The 20185-nt window shown below is 34.7% G+C and overlaps 1 protein-coding gene across 3 annotated transcripts in view; it reads left to right on the forward strand.

Annotated features, from left to right (window-relative positions):
* PDE3A (phosphodiesterase 3A) overlaps positions 1-20185 on the forward strand; it is a 320047-nt gene that overhangs the window by 131173 nt on the left and 168689 nt on the right. Inside the window, exon 2 of one of the 3 annotated variants that reach the window (NM_001378408.1) lies at positions 4937-5001. The exons of the other annotated variants lie outside the window; for them this stretch is intronic. The gene's annotated coding sequence lies outside the window, so the exon portion shown is untranslated. The remainder of the gene's footprint in view (positions 1-4936; positions 5002-20185) is intronic. 3 annotated transcript variants of the gene reach the window in all.

Raw genomic sequence — 20185 nt, forward strand, 5'->3', positions numbered from 1 at the left:
TATGCACTAATGCACAAGTCTTAAATGTACGGTTCAATTAGTTTGGCCAATGTATATAACCTGCATATATTTTCTCAGCTCATATTACTAGTTCCTTTATTATAATTAACAGCATGCAACACATTCTGAGTGGTAACGAAGGTCAAATGTATGTGGGGCATTTTAGCTGTACGCTTGTTAATCCTCACAACCCCACCTGTTTCCTACTATTATTCTAATTTTACTGATAAGAGCTGAGTTTAACAAGATTAAATGACTTGCTGAGGGCACCAGCAAAGCCTACCTTAAAACACAAGCTTGGGCCCTTAACCAGCATACTACACTGTATCTCCTTCACTGCCGAAGAAGCAAGAGTCTCTGCCACCTGTCTAGGTTTCCAGAGTTTCTTTTTCACTCTGTTGAAATTCACAAAAATTCTCTTACTCAAACTTATTAGTTATTGTGTATTATGAGAATATTTAAATCAAAATTGGATCCAAGTCAATGTATAGGGAGACATTTAAGAGTTTTCCTGTAAGTCAAGGGTGTTCTTGAAAAGAGAACTCAGATACCGTATTAGATATGATAAAGTAGAATACATCAAGAGCAAAATATTCTAATTCGAATTTAGTGCATTTTATCTTACTTGGAATATTATTGTCTATTATTTTTAACTGATGGCAATACATTTTGATGCTCAAATAGCATTTTGTGTACATTGTTAAAAAGAAAAAGATGATTATCTTTATACTCTGAAGAGAATACTTACCTATATTACTGAAAAACAGTTCATAAATCTAAACTTAGTTCTCTAATCATTTTTTATTTAGACTTCAAATATTTTCTTCCATGTGATATCCTTTAAAATGTTTTCTTTTCTTTCTTCAGGATTTTTTTTCTATGTTTGTTATTTGGGTCATTCTTCAGCCAAGTTGCTAAGCAGAAATCTGTAAAGTAGTAGTTTAATCAAATATGTTCCTCAAGTTGTTTTAAAAATATGTATATTTGTATCTTGCTGCAGGACTTCTCTAATTTTTTAAAAAATTGATCGATGTGTAAGAGGCTTTCATTCTTTCTTTCTTTTTTTTTTTTTTTTTGAGACAAGGTCTTGCTCTGTTGCCCAGGCTGGAGTACAGTGGCGCCATCTCAGCTCACTGCAGCCTCGACCTCCTGGGTTCAAGCAATCCTCCTGACTCAGTCCCTGAAGTAGCTGGAACTACAAGTGTGCGCTACTATGCCCAGCTAATTTTTGTATTTTTAGTAAAGATGGGGTGTCATCATGTTGCCCAGGCTGGCCCTGAACTCCTGAGCTCAAGCAATCTGCCCACCTCGGTCTCCCAAAGTGCTAGAATTATAGGCATGAGCCCCGGCAGCTGGCCAAGGCTTTTATTCTTTCACTGTAGAGAATTTATAAGTATTACAGCTAAACAAGAAAATAACGTACTAATGTGGATTCATGGTTCAGGCATACAAGTTTTTTCTCTTAATACTAGGTTCTCTCAATTCTGTGAACAAGGAGTTGTACTACTTTTCTCTTTGGGCTTATGAAACATCTAGAATAATTAAATCAGAAAAGGGAAAATATTTGTTAAGTCAAAGGAAGTATTTTCTTCATCTTTGTAAACATAAGTCTCTACAGCACCGTAATCCATATAACCTCAGCGTCAAGTCAGATTTTTTTTATTGCCTGAAAACTGCTAAGTGAACACATTATATGTAAAATTAAAGTAGTGGAAGTATACATGATTGAGCATTTAAACTGGTTATATGCAATATTACTACTCTAAATAGAAATAAAATTATTCTGACAACCTTGTTTGTGCCAAGTTTTTGGTTATTTAAAAGGAGTAAAACTTTCTATTTACTTCAATAGACGTGATGTGAAATTATTCGTAGAGCGAGGTAGTTAAATTTTGTTTGCTTGTTTGCTTACCAAATCATACCAGAAGAGTTACTTTTTGTTCATTTAATGAGTACTTATAAAAAATGAAGCTATTTTTTAGTGATTGTAAATATTTAAGTGATCATTCCAGACTATTTTGCAAAATTCAAGTTAGTTTGATGCTGTAGTAATACAATCAAAAAAGGATTCTAGATTTTGAGAACAAAGATAATAGAAATGATTGCATCATGCTTTTGATGTATCAATTTAGCACATTAAGCTGTCATTATTCCAGTCTTATGCTAAATAACACCCCACTTCATGCAGTGCATCCTGATATGATATTAAATATATACAGACTCATTCTGATTTTTATAAACTGTATTTGTTAAGCTTTCCAATTTGTATGAATGAACTTTGAAGCACTGGGGAATACGGATAATTGTTCACTAATTTACAAATGATACTTCACAGAGTAATATTAATCCAAAAGATAATAATCACATATATTTTGTGAGGCTATAGAGGAGGCTAATACCTTAGATGTATTTTGTATGAATTACTGTATCAGTTAGGTACTTCCTATTAAATCACGTGACTGACTCCATTCCCAGATGGTAGATTTTCAGTTTTATAGATTAGCAGGTCTAGGAAAGAGTAAGGTTCAGCTGAATGCTACTGATCACTTCCAACTTCTTTTTATTATCTAAAATGTATCACTTAAGGTATGAGTCTCACAATCATACAGAAAAGTATATTTAGTCAAAAGGATGGCTAGTATGGTTAGACTTTAAAGGAACCATTGGAATGAATCCCCGCTACCTAGAAAACTCTTCTACTAGGATATATGCCTATGACTTAATCTGTCATCTTATTTGCTCATAATTCAAATGTTCCTTGCCAGAAATACCTTTCCTGAAGTAGTTCCCCCAAAAAATGTTTGTCTGTAGTCTGTCTTCCTTACTAGAGTGTGATCAGGTCAGGGACTTTCCCTACTTGGTTCACCTAGAGCAGGTCTAGCAAATAGAATGCATGTGTATTTGTCTATGGAATACATGACTGAAAAAGTGAGTGACTATAGAGGTAAAAAGAAGTTTTAACATCATCCAATCTAACCTTTCCAGTTTATATCAAGGAAACTAAGACTATGTATAAAGGAAACTAATGGTTAACTGAATTCCTCAATTATTTCCATGGATTGAGGAAATAAATACCAGAATCACAGTTCAGTGCTTAGGGACACTTCGGGACATTCACTCCTGCCAATAGAAGATGGTTAAGAAGTGGTGTTTGGGAGCTGGACAGACATAACTTTGGCCAGAGTTTGAATCCTAGCTATACCACTTACTAGCTATGTCCCTTTGTGAAAGATATTTAATCTTTCTAAGTCATTTTCTTCGACTATAAATGGAGATGATGCATATCTCGTTGGATTATTGTGAAGCCTAAATGAGATCATGTATCACAGAGCCTGGCACAAGGAAAACTGTTATAGCTGTCATTGTCATTATCATCATGACCGTTTAGTCCTTATATAAATTATATAGGCATTTAATCCATGATTTTCTATAGTACCACGGTAGTATTTTTTCCCAAACTTAATGTATTTAGAACTTAGTTCACCACAGATGATATATGAAGTTTATGAGGTTGATATGCTAGTTTAGAATACTAGATAATACTAATATGAAATTTGGTTTCTATACTAGTTTATAATACCAGTTACTATTAAATACTCATCAATCTAGTGTTTCTGATGCCTGGACTTTAACAGGTATTCCATAGAAAGACTACACTTTTATCTGTAATAGATTTTTGATATAAGAAGGATGCAAATTCAGCTACAGAGGTTGAAACTCTGTGGAAAAAAATAATTCAAGATAAAATGCTTTTTTCTCCTCCTCATCGATTTTCTATCCACAATAGAAAAATTCCATCAGTCAGAAACCATTCAGGAGAAGATATGGGTAATGTCCTAGACATATAAATTATATAGATGCATATTGATCATTCCCTATTATATAGAGTGATCTAATTTGAATTTCTATTTTTTGAGACTAGAGTCAGACGTAATAATATTATTTTAAAAAAGTTGTCCAGATGCATGTTATTATGTCATAACTACCTTATTTCAATACATTTCTGTGTTTGATAGTTTTGCTTATTTTAGGTTCTAATTTTAAAATATACATCATTTTTCATATTCTTTAGAATTTATAAACCACCCTAGAATTTATAAACCACCTTTAATGTGTCATCATTAAATTGTAGCTTTCAAATGTAACAGAATCTGTAATTTACTGTTACAATTAGAAGATATGAATCAATTCCTTAGCTTAAAATTTTTTGTTGAAAAAGAAAATACCATGACAACTGACTGTCTTCAGAATCATCTAGGGCTGATTGATTCATAATCTAAATTTAGGGATTGTTCATATCAGAATCTAAGGAGGACTTCACGTTGCATTCATTTTGTTAATTCAGCAAAAGTAGTACTAGTTAGATCTGGGAAAGTGGATGTTAAACTTTATGAATGCCAGACTGGATTATAGTTTTCTCATTTGTACAGTTAGCTTAATGATTTCTAAAACCTTTTTTCCTTTATTTTCCTTTTCCTTCTCCTGTTACTCTGTTGGTATTCTGCATGCAGATAAACATGTGTATCTACATGTAACATGTACACAGAAGCCAATTCATATATGTGAAAAAGCTATTCACTCCTGACCACAGAGAGCATGTCTTAGTTTTCTTTAATCCTGAATGCTGGAGTCTGATACATTTTAGACTTTCAGTGAATATTTCTTGAATAAATTTTAAAATATCTCTACATCTATTAAAGAGACCATATTCTTCTAAGATGACTGTATTAGTTATCTATTGCTGCTATTACAAATTACTGTAAACTTTAATGGCATTAAAAACCACAAATTTATTAATTTTATAATTCTATATAACTATACAGAACTGTAGGTCAGAAGTCTGACATGGACCATACGGAGCTAAAATCAAGGTGCTGGCAAGGTCTCATTCCTTTCTCAAGTATCTGAGAGGGATCTGTTTCCTTGCCTTTTCCAGCTTCTAGAGGCTGCCCAAGTTCCTTGGCTTGCGACCCTCTTTCTCCAGTTTCAAAGCTGGCAAAGGTGAGTTGATTCCTTCTCACATCACATCACTATAATTTCTACCATCTTCACGTCTCTCACTATTAACTCTGGCCCTCCTGCCTCTTCTTATAAGTACCTTGTGATAACATTGGGCCCACCCAGAAAATCAGGATCATCGCTCTAACTCAACATCCTTAATCGCATCTGCAAAGTAACTTTTGCCATGTACGATAACTTATTCACAAATTCTAGGGTTTAGAACATGGACATCTTTGGGGGCTGTTTTTCTGCCAGGCACTCTGAGTGTATGCCAGTAGCTGAAAGCACCAGAGGTCTTTTCCTTGTAATTATACAGGGAAGTTGCTTTTTTGCTTAGCAAATACAAGTGCTTAGGCCAAACCTGTCTGAGGTTTTAGCTCAAAGAGAAGTGCTCCATTCTTTTAAGTTTAGATTTCATTCCAAATGTGTAACCAGCAATTACTTTCTATAGTCCTATATTTATGGCCTATTACTTGAGATCCTGGTACAGTAAATTCATAATGCATTAGGTCATTAGACAATGACAGGGTTCTGTGTGGTACATGGCCAATTTTTTGGAACTTGACCTAGGAGTCTCCTTTTCTCCTACTGTTAACTTTGCAATCTCTTATGAATCATTGTTTTTGTCACTGTACCTCATTTGCTCATCTATAGATTGCAAATGATCACTCAATCTAATTCAACTGCTAGACTAGTAAGATCACAATGAAAAATGTTCTATAAAGTGTAGAGCTCTCTTTCCATATGTGGTACATTTTTAGGTCCTCTCAAGGGGGCTCTTTTGTACTGAAGTGTTTTATTTACTTTAATGTAAGCATGTGCCATGGTGAATCTTTGCACATTACTGAAAAGAACTCAGTGTTTAATAAAATCATACCTAGCACTGCCTCAAATGTTAAGCTTTCTGGTAAATTAGACAAAGCAGATTTATCATGCCATTTCTTTTTTGAATGGCAGTGTTAGTCCAAGTTCCTGTTGATGGTCTCACTATTCTTTCCATAGTTCTGTTACATAAATGTGAAACTTTAATACCTAAATAATTCTAAATATATTTTTAATGAGGAAGTCTTCAGGACAGTGGTTTTCCAAGTTATTTTGTAGCAGAAGGCTTTTTGCAAGAAAATATTTTTGTATATGGCAGCATGGAGCTGCCATATACAAAACAAATATATGTGGAGCTACTCTGGTTGTATAAGGTGATAAGGCGCCAAGTCCATTGGTTAGTGCCCCCAAAACACATATTCCAGTGTCTGCTAACTTCACTGGTTTCTAGGGACCATAGTGGGTTTCAGTGGATAGGGCTATTTATTTGGAAAATATTTAATAAGTATTGAAATATGCCAAATAATATATATTAGGGTCAAGGAGCTATGGGAACTCTAAAGGAAGGTGTGTGTGTGTGTGTGTGTGTGTGTGTGTATGTGTGTGTAGCAGGTTAAACAAATGAGTTCTCCAAAAATTTATTTTGTAAATGTTAATGCTAAGTCAGTGTTTATTCTCTGAGCTAACCTCACCTATAAAACTGTAACCCATGTGAAAATTAACACTTCAGATTGTTTCCTTGGAAGTTATACTATACATTTAAAAAACAGGTGTTTTATATGTTGTTTCTATAATAATATGCACTATACACACAGTATTTCATTCCAGTATAACAGTCTGTATAATTTTGAAATTTTTTTCTGCATCTGTCCCCCACAAACAGAGAATAGAGGCTGTGGTGTTGGGCATTTAATGTATGAATGAGTACATGAAACATTTTTATTAATCATCTTATGAAAGGATTATTTTGCAAGAATTTTTTGTCATAACATGTAGATTAGTTTGTAATAAGAATCTTATAATTGTATTTTTTCTCAAACTTGATATATTTTGTAGTCATTTATAATTTTATAGACGAATTTATAATTTGGCTCATACATATCTTCAGAAATGATATTTGATACGTTAACCTGGTTAATTGTCTAAGATGTGCATCTTGTGTAACTATGAATATACATAAAGTGGATAAGAGAAGTAACATGAAACTTCTAAGGAAAGTATTTGGTAAGAGAGAGAATTCTATTTGTTTTTGAAAAATTATGGCATCAAGTTAATTCATTATTTTTATGTAATGTTTTAGAGAAATTGATCACTTAATGTTTCATATATGTACAAAATTTAGCTCACATTTGTCATCAAAATAAAGTATTTTGTGAGAAACAGGTCATTTTTCAAGAAGACTACTTATTTAGTAAATAAAACCATAAAATATTTTAAAGATTTTGGTTGGAATTTTAAAAGACTGTGTATATTTTTATTCTTTATAAAAGGTTATTAAATTTAGTTTTAAACTTAATTCACATAAAGGGTATTTATTATGATCCGGGGGGTAATTGTGCACAGTTCCGCATTCACTTTTTGGATTTATTTTTTTCCCCTCATCCCAGAAGCCAGAATGTAAGCTACATTTCTGTTTGTATTGGACCTTTGAGAGACTATGCTACATAGCTAATGGAAAAACCTGCATACGAGTCCAAGTTCTGCCTCTTCTAAAATTCATTACCATAAAGGAAGTTGGTTAGCCACAGGGAGTTTCTTAGGCTTTCTCAGTTTGATTTCTTAGTCCCTAGAAAGTTCAAGTCTGTAAAAACTAGAAGTTTTTATAAGGAAGTTATGAGAAGTAAATGACAAGGTATTTGAAAGTACATGACATTGTGTATGGCATATGTTAATTGACCAGTGAATGCTTTACATCCCTTGATCTCTTAACTAGAAATTAAGTGGCAGACTGATAACTCCTAAGTTCATATCGACAGCTTCCCCTCTTCTGAATTCCACACTCATATATCCAATTGCAATAATTGGCTTCTTGACTTAGATACCTAACAGACGCCTCATACTCCAAATGTGCCAAATGGAACTTCCAATTATTGCCTCCAAATCTGCTCCATCCTTTCTAACAGCTGATGGCAACTCCAACCTTCCGCTTACTCTGTCAGAAATCCTGAAGGCATCTCTGACTCCCCTTTCTCTGTTACACCTCACATCCAATCTACCATTAGTTCAACTTGCTAAATAATCCAGAATCTGGTAACTTCTCACCATCTCTGCTGCTACAACTCTAGCCAGGCTGGCATCATGCCTAGCTCTGATTACTACAGAAACCTCGTAGCTGTTCTCTCGGCTTCCACCTCTCCTTCCTCACTGTGTATTCACAACATAAATTAGCCCGAGTGATCCTTTCAGAACCTGAGTCAGTTAATGTCACTCCTCTGCTCAAAACCCTCCAATGGCTCCCGTGTTAGACCTTACAGTTGCCTACATGGCCTGTGCAATTAGGCTCTTTTGTCTTTGTCATTACCTCATCTCTCATTACCTTTCTCCTCACTTACTCCAATGCAGCTATACTTATCCTTACCATTCTTTGTGTATGCCAGGCACATTCTCATTGCACTGGCTGTTTTCTTTGCCTGGACCACTTTGTCCCCAGTTATCCCCATAGCTCACTTCCTCTCTGCCTGTGTCTTCAAGTTTTTGATTAAATGCAACTTCTATGTACCTGATCCCTCCCGCAGGACTCCCATTTCAAATGGAAACCCCACCCCCCATAATACCAGCCCTCTTTATGATACTCTAAAGCACTCATCTTCTAACACATGCTAAAATTTACTCATATATAATTTTTTTCACTTGAATTTGAGCTCTACAATGTTACCTGGTTTGTTTTTTTTTTTTAGTTTTGTCCTCTGATATTTCCCAATCATCTAGAACAGTGTCTGGTACATAATAGTTGCTCAATGAATATTTGTGGAATGATTTGAGTAAACAGCAATTTGATCAGAAAAAAATGCATTCTTAGAGTTCTTTCATTTCATGCAGTATTGCTTATTTAAAAGGAATCCATTTAGACGTCATACCCTTTAAAGTCGGCAGTTTGAAATTTGGCAAACAACTTGAAAGCAGCCTAGATGAAGCGGTTAGAATATGGTGGTAGCTTTGCAATTGTACTACCTGGGATCGATTCCTATTTTTGCCACATAAAAAGCTCATTGTGATGATCAATTTTCTGATTCTTTTTGTGAGCTCAAATACTTGAAATAATTAACCAAGTAGTTGATACCAAAAAAAAAAATCTGGGTTTCTGGGTTTTTGATTGTTTTCTTCAGTACTTTTTTTTTTAAGCATTAAAAATCCATACATATGATTACTAGTTTTATTCTTGGAGATGCCATTCTTACAGGTTAAGGAATTATATCTTTAAATGAGCAAAATTTCATTATAATTTGTTGATGCATGTATTTTTCGTATATAGCCAGCATTTTTCCCTCACCAACATGTGTATTCTGTTACCGTATCTCAAACTGCCCTTCTTATGCTGGATTTGTGACATTGTGCGTCATCAAGAGCTGTTCTCAGAAACGCAGATTCAATTACGTCTAACAAACAGGCCAAATATCTAATCTGCCACCATTACAGCTATATTAATCTGCTTCTATCCAGTAGGGCCTTGGCTTGGATTACAGTAGGAAACACCACATCTGTGTCCACAGCTGCTGCCTTTTAAACAGGACCCATAGCATGATATTCTGGACAAGGGCCTTTTAAGGTGTCTAGTTTTAGGTGTTGGGCAAAGCCTTTCCTTTAGTGTTCTGGGCTTCTAGAGCACCACCCATTTTTCCCCTTACAGAATGTTCACTTTCTGTCTTCTGGGTACCCCTACATTAGTTTCTGTTGCCCTAATTAAGACCTCTTTTCCAGAAGCAATCTATTATTTTTGTCCAGTGAGATCTATTTACCCTAGAAGTGTTTGTTCTTATACCTTAATTTTTAAAGTTTTTTTTCAGTAAAAAACAGATATGAATAAGTTGGTAGGAAAACTATTTTAAAAGGGTATTTTTGGCCCTATAAAAATCCCAGCAGGTATCTCTGCCTACTTTTTTGTTTTATAATGTCTAGCTCTGAAATTATTGTAGCCTCTGTTTTCTGTTTGTTACCAGATGATATTTTAATGTTTTCCTTCCGGATGTTAAATGTCTTTTCTTCTCTTTAGTGCCACTTAGAAAACTTGGAAATAAACAAAAAATGAAGCTCATATATTTTTTTACCACTGTCTAGAAACCATTACTATAATGCTGGTCTTAATTCATACTTACTAGAATTGGGAGATGTATTTGACTTACTCATAAATTTGATAGGTGGAAAAAGTAGCTTATTTATTACGAAGCTGAAAATGTAATGTTTTTTAGCCATTTGTATTTTTTCTCATGAATTGTCTTCTCATTTACATTTTAAATATTAATGATATTTATATGATAAAACATTTCAAATGTGCTTGACATACATTAATATAGTTTTCAAATGGAAATTTTTAATCATTTTATGGTAGACATTATTTCATTTAAAAAATTCTAAAATGGGCTTTATTTAGATAGCAACACATTTTATCAGTATTTTCTTCTAAATTTTTTCATTTAGCTGATTTTTAACATAGTTCTTTAATACTTTTGGAATTCAGTTATACAAATGGTAGTTGCATATAATAAGCAAACTGTGAGTTTTTTTCTAAATTGCTATACAAATTTGTCAGCCAGTTTAATTGAATAATGTATATTCTTTTCTGTTGGTATGTAATATATTAGATCAACTAAAATAATCCACTAGAATTAGCAAACTAGGTAGAAATTGACTATATTTAATTAGAGCTAGAAGCCAGATAGTACAGTAGAGAAATGGATGGCAGTTCAAAATTCTGGAATATGAAGAAAAATAGAAAAAGAGAGAAATAGCGGAAAGTAGTTTTAGAGATAAAAATCTATATTTGAAAAAAGAGAGGGACTTGAGTGTGTATGCTGTGGACAAATTGAGGGCTGAGATGGAGAAGTTGAAGACACAGGATGGATTAGGCAAAGGATTGATGAAACTATATATTGGAAAGGGCAAGAAAAGGGAGTGTAACTCCCAGATGGATCTGTCAACATGGGGTAGAGATGAATGCTGTTTCCATTGTAGAAATAGAAGATACAGAGAGTTATGGTGCAGGTAGATTTGTAGGTAGGAGGGCCTGAAGTTGAGGAAGATTCCATAATATGTCCTCTGTTTCTTCTATAAATTAAGAAGGGAAGCATTCTCTGAGAGTGAAGAGGAAGGAAGGTCATACATGTTATTTATATGTCTTCTCCTTCATTCATTTGCTCAAAAAAACACTTATTGAATGTTTCCATGTGCCATGTTCTGTGTTAAGACTAGAAGAAGCAACCAAAAATGAAGTGCACAGTGGAGTCTATCAAACAACTTCAGTCACGAGTCAGCCAGGCAGCCACATGATGAAAAGGACTCTGTCACTTCTCCACTGCAACAACTAAGTCACCACTGAGTCAAAAATAGGATCTGCTTGACTAGGTGTTGCCAGTTTGGGGAAAACATTTTCAGTTTGGTTGATGGCATCAAAATTTAAAAAAAGGCTTCATGTTGATACAAGTGGGTAGATATGAAACCAGGTGTTAAAATATACACATATATTTCCTTGCTCCGCATACTGCAGTGTTCATTGCTACACTCCAGCAGCAAGGATCATACCCAGCACTGAGATCGTGATTTCTAATACCTTTGCAAATTGAAGGAACCAGAGATCTGTGAAAAAGTGGCTTAATCTAGGGCTGGTTCAGGAATATACGAGAAAAGCTTGGAGTATCTTTTAGTGCCCATAAATTAGGAAGTGCTCAAATACACACACACACACACACACACACACACATACACACACACGATGGTGATATGTCAGTTGGACACAGGAGCCAACTGAAAGAGTTCCCAATGGCTAAACAACCTAAGAAACAAAATGAATAATGTATTAGATTATAACCCAAAGTATAAAATAAATATTCATGATCCTGTACTAATAGAAATGATTAAATAGATGGGCTAAATAGCTGTCTCTTATGTAATAAAATTCCAAATAGCTTATGTGGATATTGTCCTCCTTAAGGATGTATAGTGTAACTCGCCATTCCTTAAGTGTGGGCTACTCACAGTGGTTCCTTCCAAAGAGAGACTTGGGCAAAGTCTTCTCAGGAGAGAAATGGGCAAAGAGAAAGAGAGACTGCATTGGAGAAACCTTACAGACACTGCCTCAGCCAGATGATCAAGGTGACCATCACAATAAGTGGTGTTGATAGTATAGACCCATAATATGATGTAATTAGAATACCAGTTTGCCTATGTGGTTGTCTCCTCAAAAATCCATAACTCCATCTTATGAAAAAAGTTCAGACAAACCCATTTGAGGGATATTATAGAATATACACGACTAGCATTAAAAATGTAAAAGTCATCAAAAACAAAGTCAGAAAAAATTGTCAGTCAGGAGGAACCTGAGGAGACATAAAGACCCAAATGTATTATAACATCCTAGATAGGACCCTGGAACAAATAAAAGACAATAGATAAAAACTATATCTGAGTAAAATATTGGTTGTGTGTAATAATACGTCGCTATTGGTCCATTAGTTATAACAATTGTACTATGCTAATATAAAATGTTAATAACAGAAAAGTGAAGGGGGCTAGTGGAGGGGGCACAGTATAAGAGACTATGCTATCTTCAAAAGTCTTCTGTAAAAAGCCATCCTAAAATAGGAATTTTGTTTAAAAAACAAAAAATCCGCTCTGCAAATTATACACTCTTTAATTATTTTGAAGCTGCTCTTATACCAAGAGATGAAGACAAATCCGATAAGTACTATTTTGATTTGTCAAATGCCCCTTTGTAGAGGCCACGGAAGCTGATGGAGTAATATCTACTGTTGCTTTCATATCTTTCAGCAGAGGAATCAGGTAAAATAGTCAACATTTTACAATGTTATTGCTTGGGGTTTAGGAAATTTCACCTCCCAGAAAGGTTCTATGTGCTTATTTTTAATTACACAATGGAATATCTGGCAGAACATAAGACATTTTAAGCTGTAAGTAGAATGATTTTCCAGGAGTTTCTGAGCATCTTAGAGCCTACATTTACCATTATCAGAGGCACCTGAGTACTGCTTCGTAAATTGCAACTTCGTTACGTTAGATAGTGTCCTATTTCCATGAGAGTGATGACAGATTCAGAAGTGCCAGGCTCCAAGGAAGTTGTTCACTGGGAGAAAAAGACTCAATGTAAAGCATATTATTTATTATTATTGTGGTAACACCTATCATTATATAAATATAACCATTCAATAATGCCGTATTATTCATAATAGAAGTCACCAGATTCTTATCCATTCTTCGTACTCTGGGCTTCCTATGAGTAAATGTATTTTGTTCTTTTTGCAGAATTAAGTAAACAGAATTATTTCTGCTTTGCCAAAGGATGTTGTCAAAGGCCTGCTCCTCTTCTGCCTATATATTTTTCTTTTAACATAATGTATGCCCTTGAGCAGTGATTCTCAGTCTTTCGTGTTTTACATTTTGTCACATGCTATACTGAAAAATTTGGGTCCCACTGTCATAGAATCAAACCATGTTTATAGTCATTCGATGCATATATGTTTTTATATTTCTAATATAAATTTATACGATTTTAGCAGTAAACTATGTTAATACAGTACGTTAGAAATATTTGTGGGTGTTGAGTAAAACCAGAGAAAATAGGGGATTTGGTAAAATATTGTCTATTTCATAATATCTGCTGACTGACATTGCAACATCTCTAAAGAGAATTTGTTTTTGAAAGGCAGAAAATAAACTATTTCATGAGTAATAGCAGCTTAGCATTGTCTAACAGCTACAAAATCCATCAATGACATATACTTTCTCTGGAGAAAGGTGTTAGCCCTTGGGATGGTTGTAAGACAGGTTTTGTCTCATTTTCCTTAATCTACAAACTGTTGGATGTAGTTTTCCCAGTTGTATTAATTTCTCATGGAATTTGTGGAAATATACACTAAAATTACTTTAGCATTTTCAAGATTTTCAGATTTTTTTATGACCTTTTCATCAGTGTCCTATGTTAGGAGATTGTGTTGATATGTTATATTAAACTGTAAGGACCACACAAGCAGTTTTGACACATCTGATAGAGATTCCACTGAAGTTTTACTGAGATGATTGAAACAATTTAGACAGATTTCAGTCAATTTATCAGTCAGTAGGACTTTAAATGATGCCATTAAATGAGATTAAAATATTTCTGAATTTAATACTGCCAACTTAAAGTACTGTTAACTTTTTTTGGCTTGTTTCAATTGGAAGAAAAAAAGAGGTAGTGAATATAACACACATCTGGAACTAAGAAAACTAATTTGTAAGTCCCACCTCCTCCGCTAACCATCTGTAGTCTGTTACACTTGCAGTGGCTTCCAACCTTGGCTGCACATTAAAATAACATGGGAATAGGTAAAAATCCCAGTGCCCAGGTTTCACCCTAAAATAATTAAATCCACATCTCTGGGGTGAGACACAGGCATTTTATTTTTGTTTGAAATTTTCAAAGAAGATATCAAAATTTGCAAGGCATAATCAAATAAGGCAATTAACATACTTTAGCCTATACCTCATATTTTGCTTGTTTTTAGTTTCAAATCATCCTAGGATATTATTGATTACTCAACTGATTGACATGGTTTGGGAAATAAGGTATTTTGAAAGGAAAAATGTCTTCTTTTTATAAACTGTACAGGAACCTTCTATTAAATTCTGTAAATGTCATTGATCTCAAATCCATGCATCACATGTGTAAATTATATTATTTGTGTTGTGTTTGAAGTAAAGCATGATTGATAACATTTGATGTGAAAATATATGCAATGGCAGTAACGTTATCATTTCTAAAAGAACAGAACCCTTGAAGACAAAGGGTAGAAGTAATGTCAGTCCTGTTTCTACAATATTTGAGCTATGTGACCTTGAGAAAGTCATTTAAACTTTCTGATTCTTAATTCCCAGGTCTATAATTGTTATACTTTAGCTTTGCAGTTATAGATTTGTTCAGTGTTAACATCACTTGTATGAATTATAAACTTATTGTTAGTTAAACATGCTAGAAAAAGTTGAGAGACAGTGAAGCATAATAGAAAGCACATGGTTTTTGGAATTGAATTTGGCTTCCCACATTAGTTGTATCTTACTAGCTGTGTGACTTTGGCATGTGACCTAACCCAAGTTTATGTAAAATGGTTTCAATAACATGTTCCTGTCTTAGCCCATTTTGTGCTGCTGTAACAGAATACCTGACACTGGGTAACTTATAAAGAACAGAAATTTATTTCAAGAACAGTTCTAAAAGCTAGAAAGTTCAAGATTATGATATCAGTATCTGACAAGGACCTTCTTGCTGCATCATCACATGGCAGAAGGGCAAAGAAAGGGCAAGAGGGGGCCGAACTCATCCTTTCATAATGGTATCAATCCCAGCCATGAGGGTAGAGCCCTCAGGGCCCGTTCAACTCTTCAAATTACTACATCTTAATACTGTTACAATGGCATTTAAATTTCAACGTAAGTTTGAAGGGGACAGATACTCAAACCATAGCACTTTATTAGAAGTTGTTTTAAGAATTTAATGAGACAATATATGTTAAGGGCCTACTGCCTGGCATATAGTAGATACTGAAGAAATGGTTGTTGATAGTGATGATAATGTAATATACCACTAACATGTTAAATGTGTTTCTGAATGCATGACCTCAGAATATATGTCAAATATATACACTGGTTCCTTTTTACAAAAGCAAGTGTTAATGAATGAGTGTAAAACTCCTTAGCTTAAAAAGTCCACTTTACACATCTATAGGTAGTGATTTGAGAAGTTCCTAGAGGACAGTTGATATGGTGTGTTAGATAACCACAGATTGGAAATGCTAGCCCTCTGGACACTCAAACTTTAACTCTGGAAACTGGGTTACACTGGAAAGAATCTACAATAAACTGACCTTCCACTGGACACGTGGAGTATTCTAACTAATGCAGAAATCCGAAGCAGACTAGAGTATCCCTGATCTCCTTAGTGGTGTAGAATCTCACACTGTATTATTTATTTATTTATTTATTTATTTATTTATTTATTTATTTATTTATTTTGAGACGGAGTCTCGCTCTGTCGCCCAGGCTGGAGTGCAGTGGCGGGATCTCGGCTCACTGCAAGCTCCGCCTCCCGGGTTCACGCCATTCTCCTGCCTCAGCCTCCCAAGTAGCTGGGACTACAGGCGCCTGCCACTACGCCCGGCTAATTTTTTGTATTTTTAGTAGAGACGGGGTTTCACCGTTTTAGCCGGGATGGTCTCGATCTCCTGACCTCGTGATCCGCCCGCCTCGGCCTCCCAAAGTGCTGGGATTACAGGCGTGAGCCACCGCGCCCGGCCTATTTTTTTTTTTTTCAGAACATGTTGGCTTAGTATTCTCTGGGCAGGAGGCCATGCCAAGGAAAGTTTTTGACCTTTCAAAACCTCCCAAAGGTAATGGGAGAAGTGATAATTATTACGGAAATGTGAAGACAAGCATACTTTTTTTTCATAGATTCTTACTCAGACTCATTCAAAAAGGGATGGATTTTGAGTATTCATTTTGGTGAAGTCTCTGACCTTATTAGATAGTGATACCTCCAGGTCTTGCTTTATGTGGGGTCAATTACTGAGCCGTTGATGAATTTCATTTATTTCTTGTTTAATAGAGTGGCACTTAAAATAAGTGGACATGTAAAAGAAAAATAGATTTGCTTGATTTGTATCTTTCAAAATGGTAGTGAAACAATCCTGTAATTTACACGACCAGTTCTACTTCACATATATTTTAAATGTACTATGATCAACATAGTCATTACCTGGCATGTAGAATACCTATACATTTACACATGTAAAAAATGAAGCCTCAATGTCTTTGGTTTGTGCTGGATCATTTCTTTCAGGGTATGGCATTCTCAAGTTATTTTCTAATGAGGTTTCTTTAAATTTTTCAAGTTGCTTTCACTGCGATTAATTTAATAGTGAATATGTTTATAAAAGTCTGATTCTAGAGACAGGCTCTGAACCATTATGCTATGGCCTCTTTGACTACAAAAATCAAACGTTTTTATTTTCTAATTTGTTAAGTTAAATATTTTTCTATGTAGTGAAGCTTAACTAATTAGAGAGACCAGCAGGAATTGTAATGTCACCAATGTAATTTACATTGAGATAAGTTTTATTCAAAAGAATGAGCTAAAATATTTTATTCTGTGAGGCTAAAAACTATAACTAGGATGAGGAACTCTTTTCTCCCAATACAAATTATAGAATTTCAAAGCAGGAAGAGCATCTTGTTTTACCCCTCTTTGTACAGATGGGAAAAAGAGCCCCAGGAGAGCACAAGATTTGCTCGTGTCTCACAGGCATTTACTGAATGGCAAAGTTGCCAGTAAAGCCCTGTAGTTTGACTCTGTCGACAGCAGAAATGTGTTCTTCTATTTCATACTTTCCAATGCGGTTCTAGAAAATGATAAGTAATTTTGAAAGTTGGTTTATTTCTTTCAGAGTAGCTAGTGCCATTTGTTGTACTTGTTATCATTAGTGCCTACACCCATTGATTCAAAAAGGTTTGATTTAACAACTAAGTTGATCTAGGTACCAGGAATAAAACATGACTGAGGAAACAAGACATAGCCCTGGTTCTTGACCAGTTTATACTATGAAGAAGGGGTTGGACTATGGGGATTATGTGACACTTTGAACAACGGGGAGAAAAGAGGATACTTTCCCTCTGAGTATATTTGGATTGCTTGGTTATAAAAATGTTGTGTGATTATTGTAAACTCTTATTCAGAATGTTTTTTCTCCGTTGTATAATGGGCACCATGATGACATAAATAAGCTTCTTTATAAAATTTCTGCTGTGTTTCCTACAGCTCCCTCCTATGACAAACTGAGTATTTGTGATTTAGTTCTACTGGATGATTTACTTCTACTGGATATCCTTAAGATTATATTTATTTACAAATAAGTAAAAATCACTGAAGTGGGATCCCTGGGTTTGTTGTTATAAAACTTATTAATTATCTTAAATATCAGGTTTTCCTCTCTTCAGGCTCAGTCAGTAGGTCAGGGAAATGTCATGTGGGGCCATTTTCTCTTATCCCTGCCACTTTGACAATGGTTGTCAAATTAGAATGTGCACACCAATCTCTCGCTAACTTGACAAATGCACATTCCTAGGTCCCAACCTTAGGATTATGACTTAATAAGCCTGGGATCCTGAATGTAGCCCACAGAAATCCACTTAGTAACACCCGTTTACAAAGAGACTCCTAATCTGCGTGGTCCAAGGCACATTTTGAGAAACACTGACTGTGCTATGTTCTTTTCTGGAGACAGACAGGGACTCATGTCTCCCTCCTTGGCAACAGCTATTCTTTCATGGGTAATTCCTATGTACTATTTGAATATCAAAATATTTTTATCTCCCTAAGAATGGGGAGACACAACGTATTTGCCCCATAAGGGTAAATTGCAAACAAATTGCTCCAGTGCTTCAGAAAGGACTGGTTATTCATTCCTGGGACTGCTTTATAAAGAGAGATCTTCTCAATATTCAAATGTATTACAGGCATAGAAAATTTTTTGCATGAATATATAAAGACTAAGAATCAGTTCTGTTTTTTACAGCCTGAGAGGACATATTTTGAAAGCTTTCTAATCCTTGCTATGACAATGACTGAACTTTTAGAGGGCTCAGAGTTAGAGCTTCAAAGATATTTAATAATGGAGAAAAAAAAAAGATTCATTTGGGAGAAGATCTCCAAGTATAACCAAATTTATCCCTTTACCTGTGGCTAATAAAATAACTGAATTCAAAAAGAAAGCAAAAGCAATATATATTTTGAATAGAAGACTGCTTTTTAAAATTATGTAAACTATTCTGTCATTAAAAAAAAAGCCTTCCTAGTGTTGGATTGGAGTATTTCCATATTTGGAAACCAAGATTAATAGATGTTTCAGATCCGAAGTGTTTGTTCTTCCATCTTTTTTTCCCCCTTTTGCATGTAAAAGAGAATGGTGACCAATTTTTTTGGTAAAAGAGTTAATAAATCACTTAATAATGGATTTAAATGAACAGAGGCATAATCAGATTTTTTTAAAAAAGACTTTTATTTAATTCTCCAGACGCAACACTTAGATAGGACTTTCTGTACTGATGGATTTTTTTATAGCTATGTTGTTGAATCTGGTAGCCACAGTCACATGTGGTTATTGCATCCATGAAGTGTAACTAGTGTAACTGAGGAATTGAATTTTTTAAAATTTGATTTCATTTCATTTAATTGAAATTGCTACATGTGGCAGATAGTCATTGTATTGATCTGTGTTGCTAAAGAAGATTGTGTAAAATGGTTTTCATAACTTTAGGGGTAGCAGTTGGCATTTTTATGAGACTAGGAAGTATATGATTATGTAGTGTTGTAGTTTATGTGACTAAATGTGGCTCCTTATGGAGGAGTTCTTTAACTTTGCCATACTTATAAAGATAGTTATTATTTATTCTCTCTACTTATATTTTGAAAGTCCCTCTCTTAAAGCAAGTAGATATCATGGAGTGAGTCTGGAAACTCCTGTTACAGAACACCAGGAGTGGCCAAATTATGACTGGTGCCCCCTGGAGTTGTGCACACAGAGTCTGTGGCTACCCCTATAAGCTGAGTCACATCTCAAGGCAATGTCATATTCACTTTTATGTCTACAATGCTTGGTATGGAATTGATTACTGACAAATCTTTGTTAAGTAAGGAATATATATCTCAATTTTGATATCCGCAATAATAAAGGATAGTGAATAAAAAATATTTTACTGTGTGCTCATAGAACACATTGTATGAATTTGCCCTTTGATGTATATATTCATTAAGTTCTACATTTATGAAGTACGCTTTGTGGAAAGTATTAATTTAAGTATTTAATACGAATATAATTCAGACACAGTATGTCTACTGCTGATTAATGAAGAAGGGAATGTAAAAATATGTGCTGCATCATAAAGTAACTGCACTAATGAACATATGTGCAAGATGTAGTTCCCAATAGCAAAGGAAGAGAAAGGGATTTTTGTTTGGTTGATTGATTTTCTCAGTCCTGTGGCAGAACAAAAAAGGCACATCAGAGAAGGAAGGCTGCCATCAGGGAAATGACTTTTGAGGCGGGTTTTGGAAGATGAGCTGGAGCTAGCAGAGGGGTGGTGAGGAAAGTAAGGCCTGTGCTGC

The sequence above is a fragment of the Homo sapiens genome, chromosome 12 (genome assembly GCF_000001405.40).
Source record: "Homo sapiens chromosome 12, GRCh38.p14 Primary Assembly".
Classification (NCBI taxonomy): domain Eukaryota; kingdom Metazoa; phylum Chordata; class Mammalia; order Primates; family Hominidae; genus Homo; species Homo sapiens.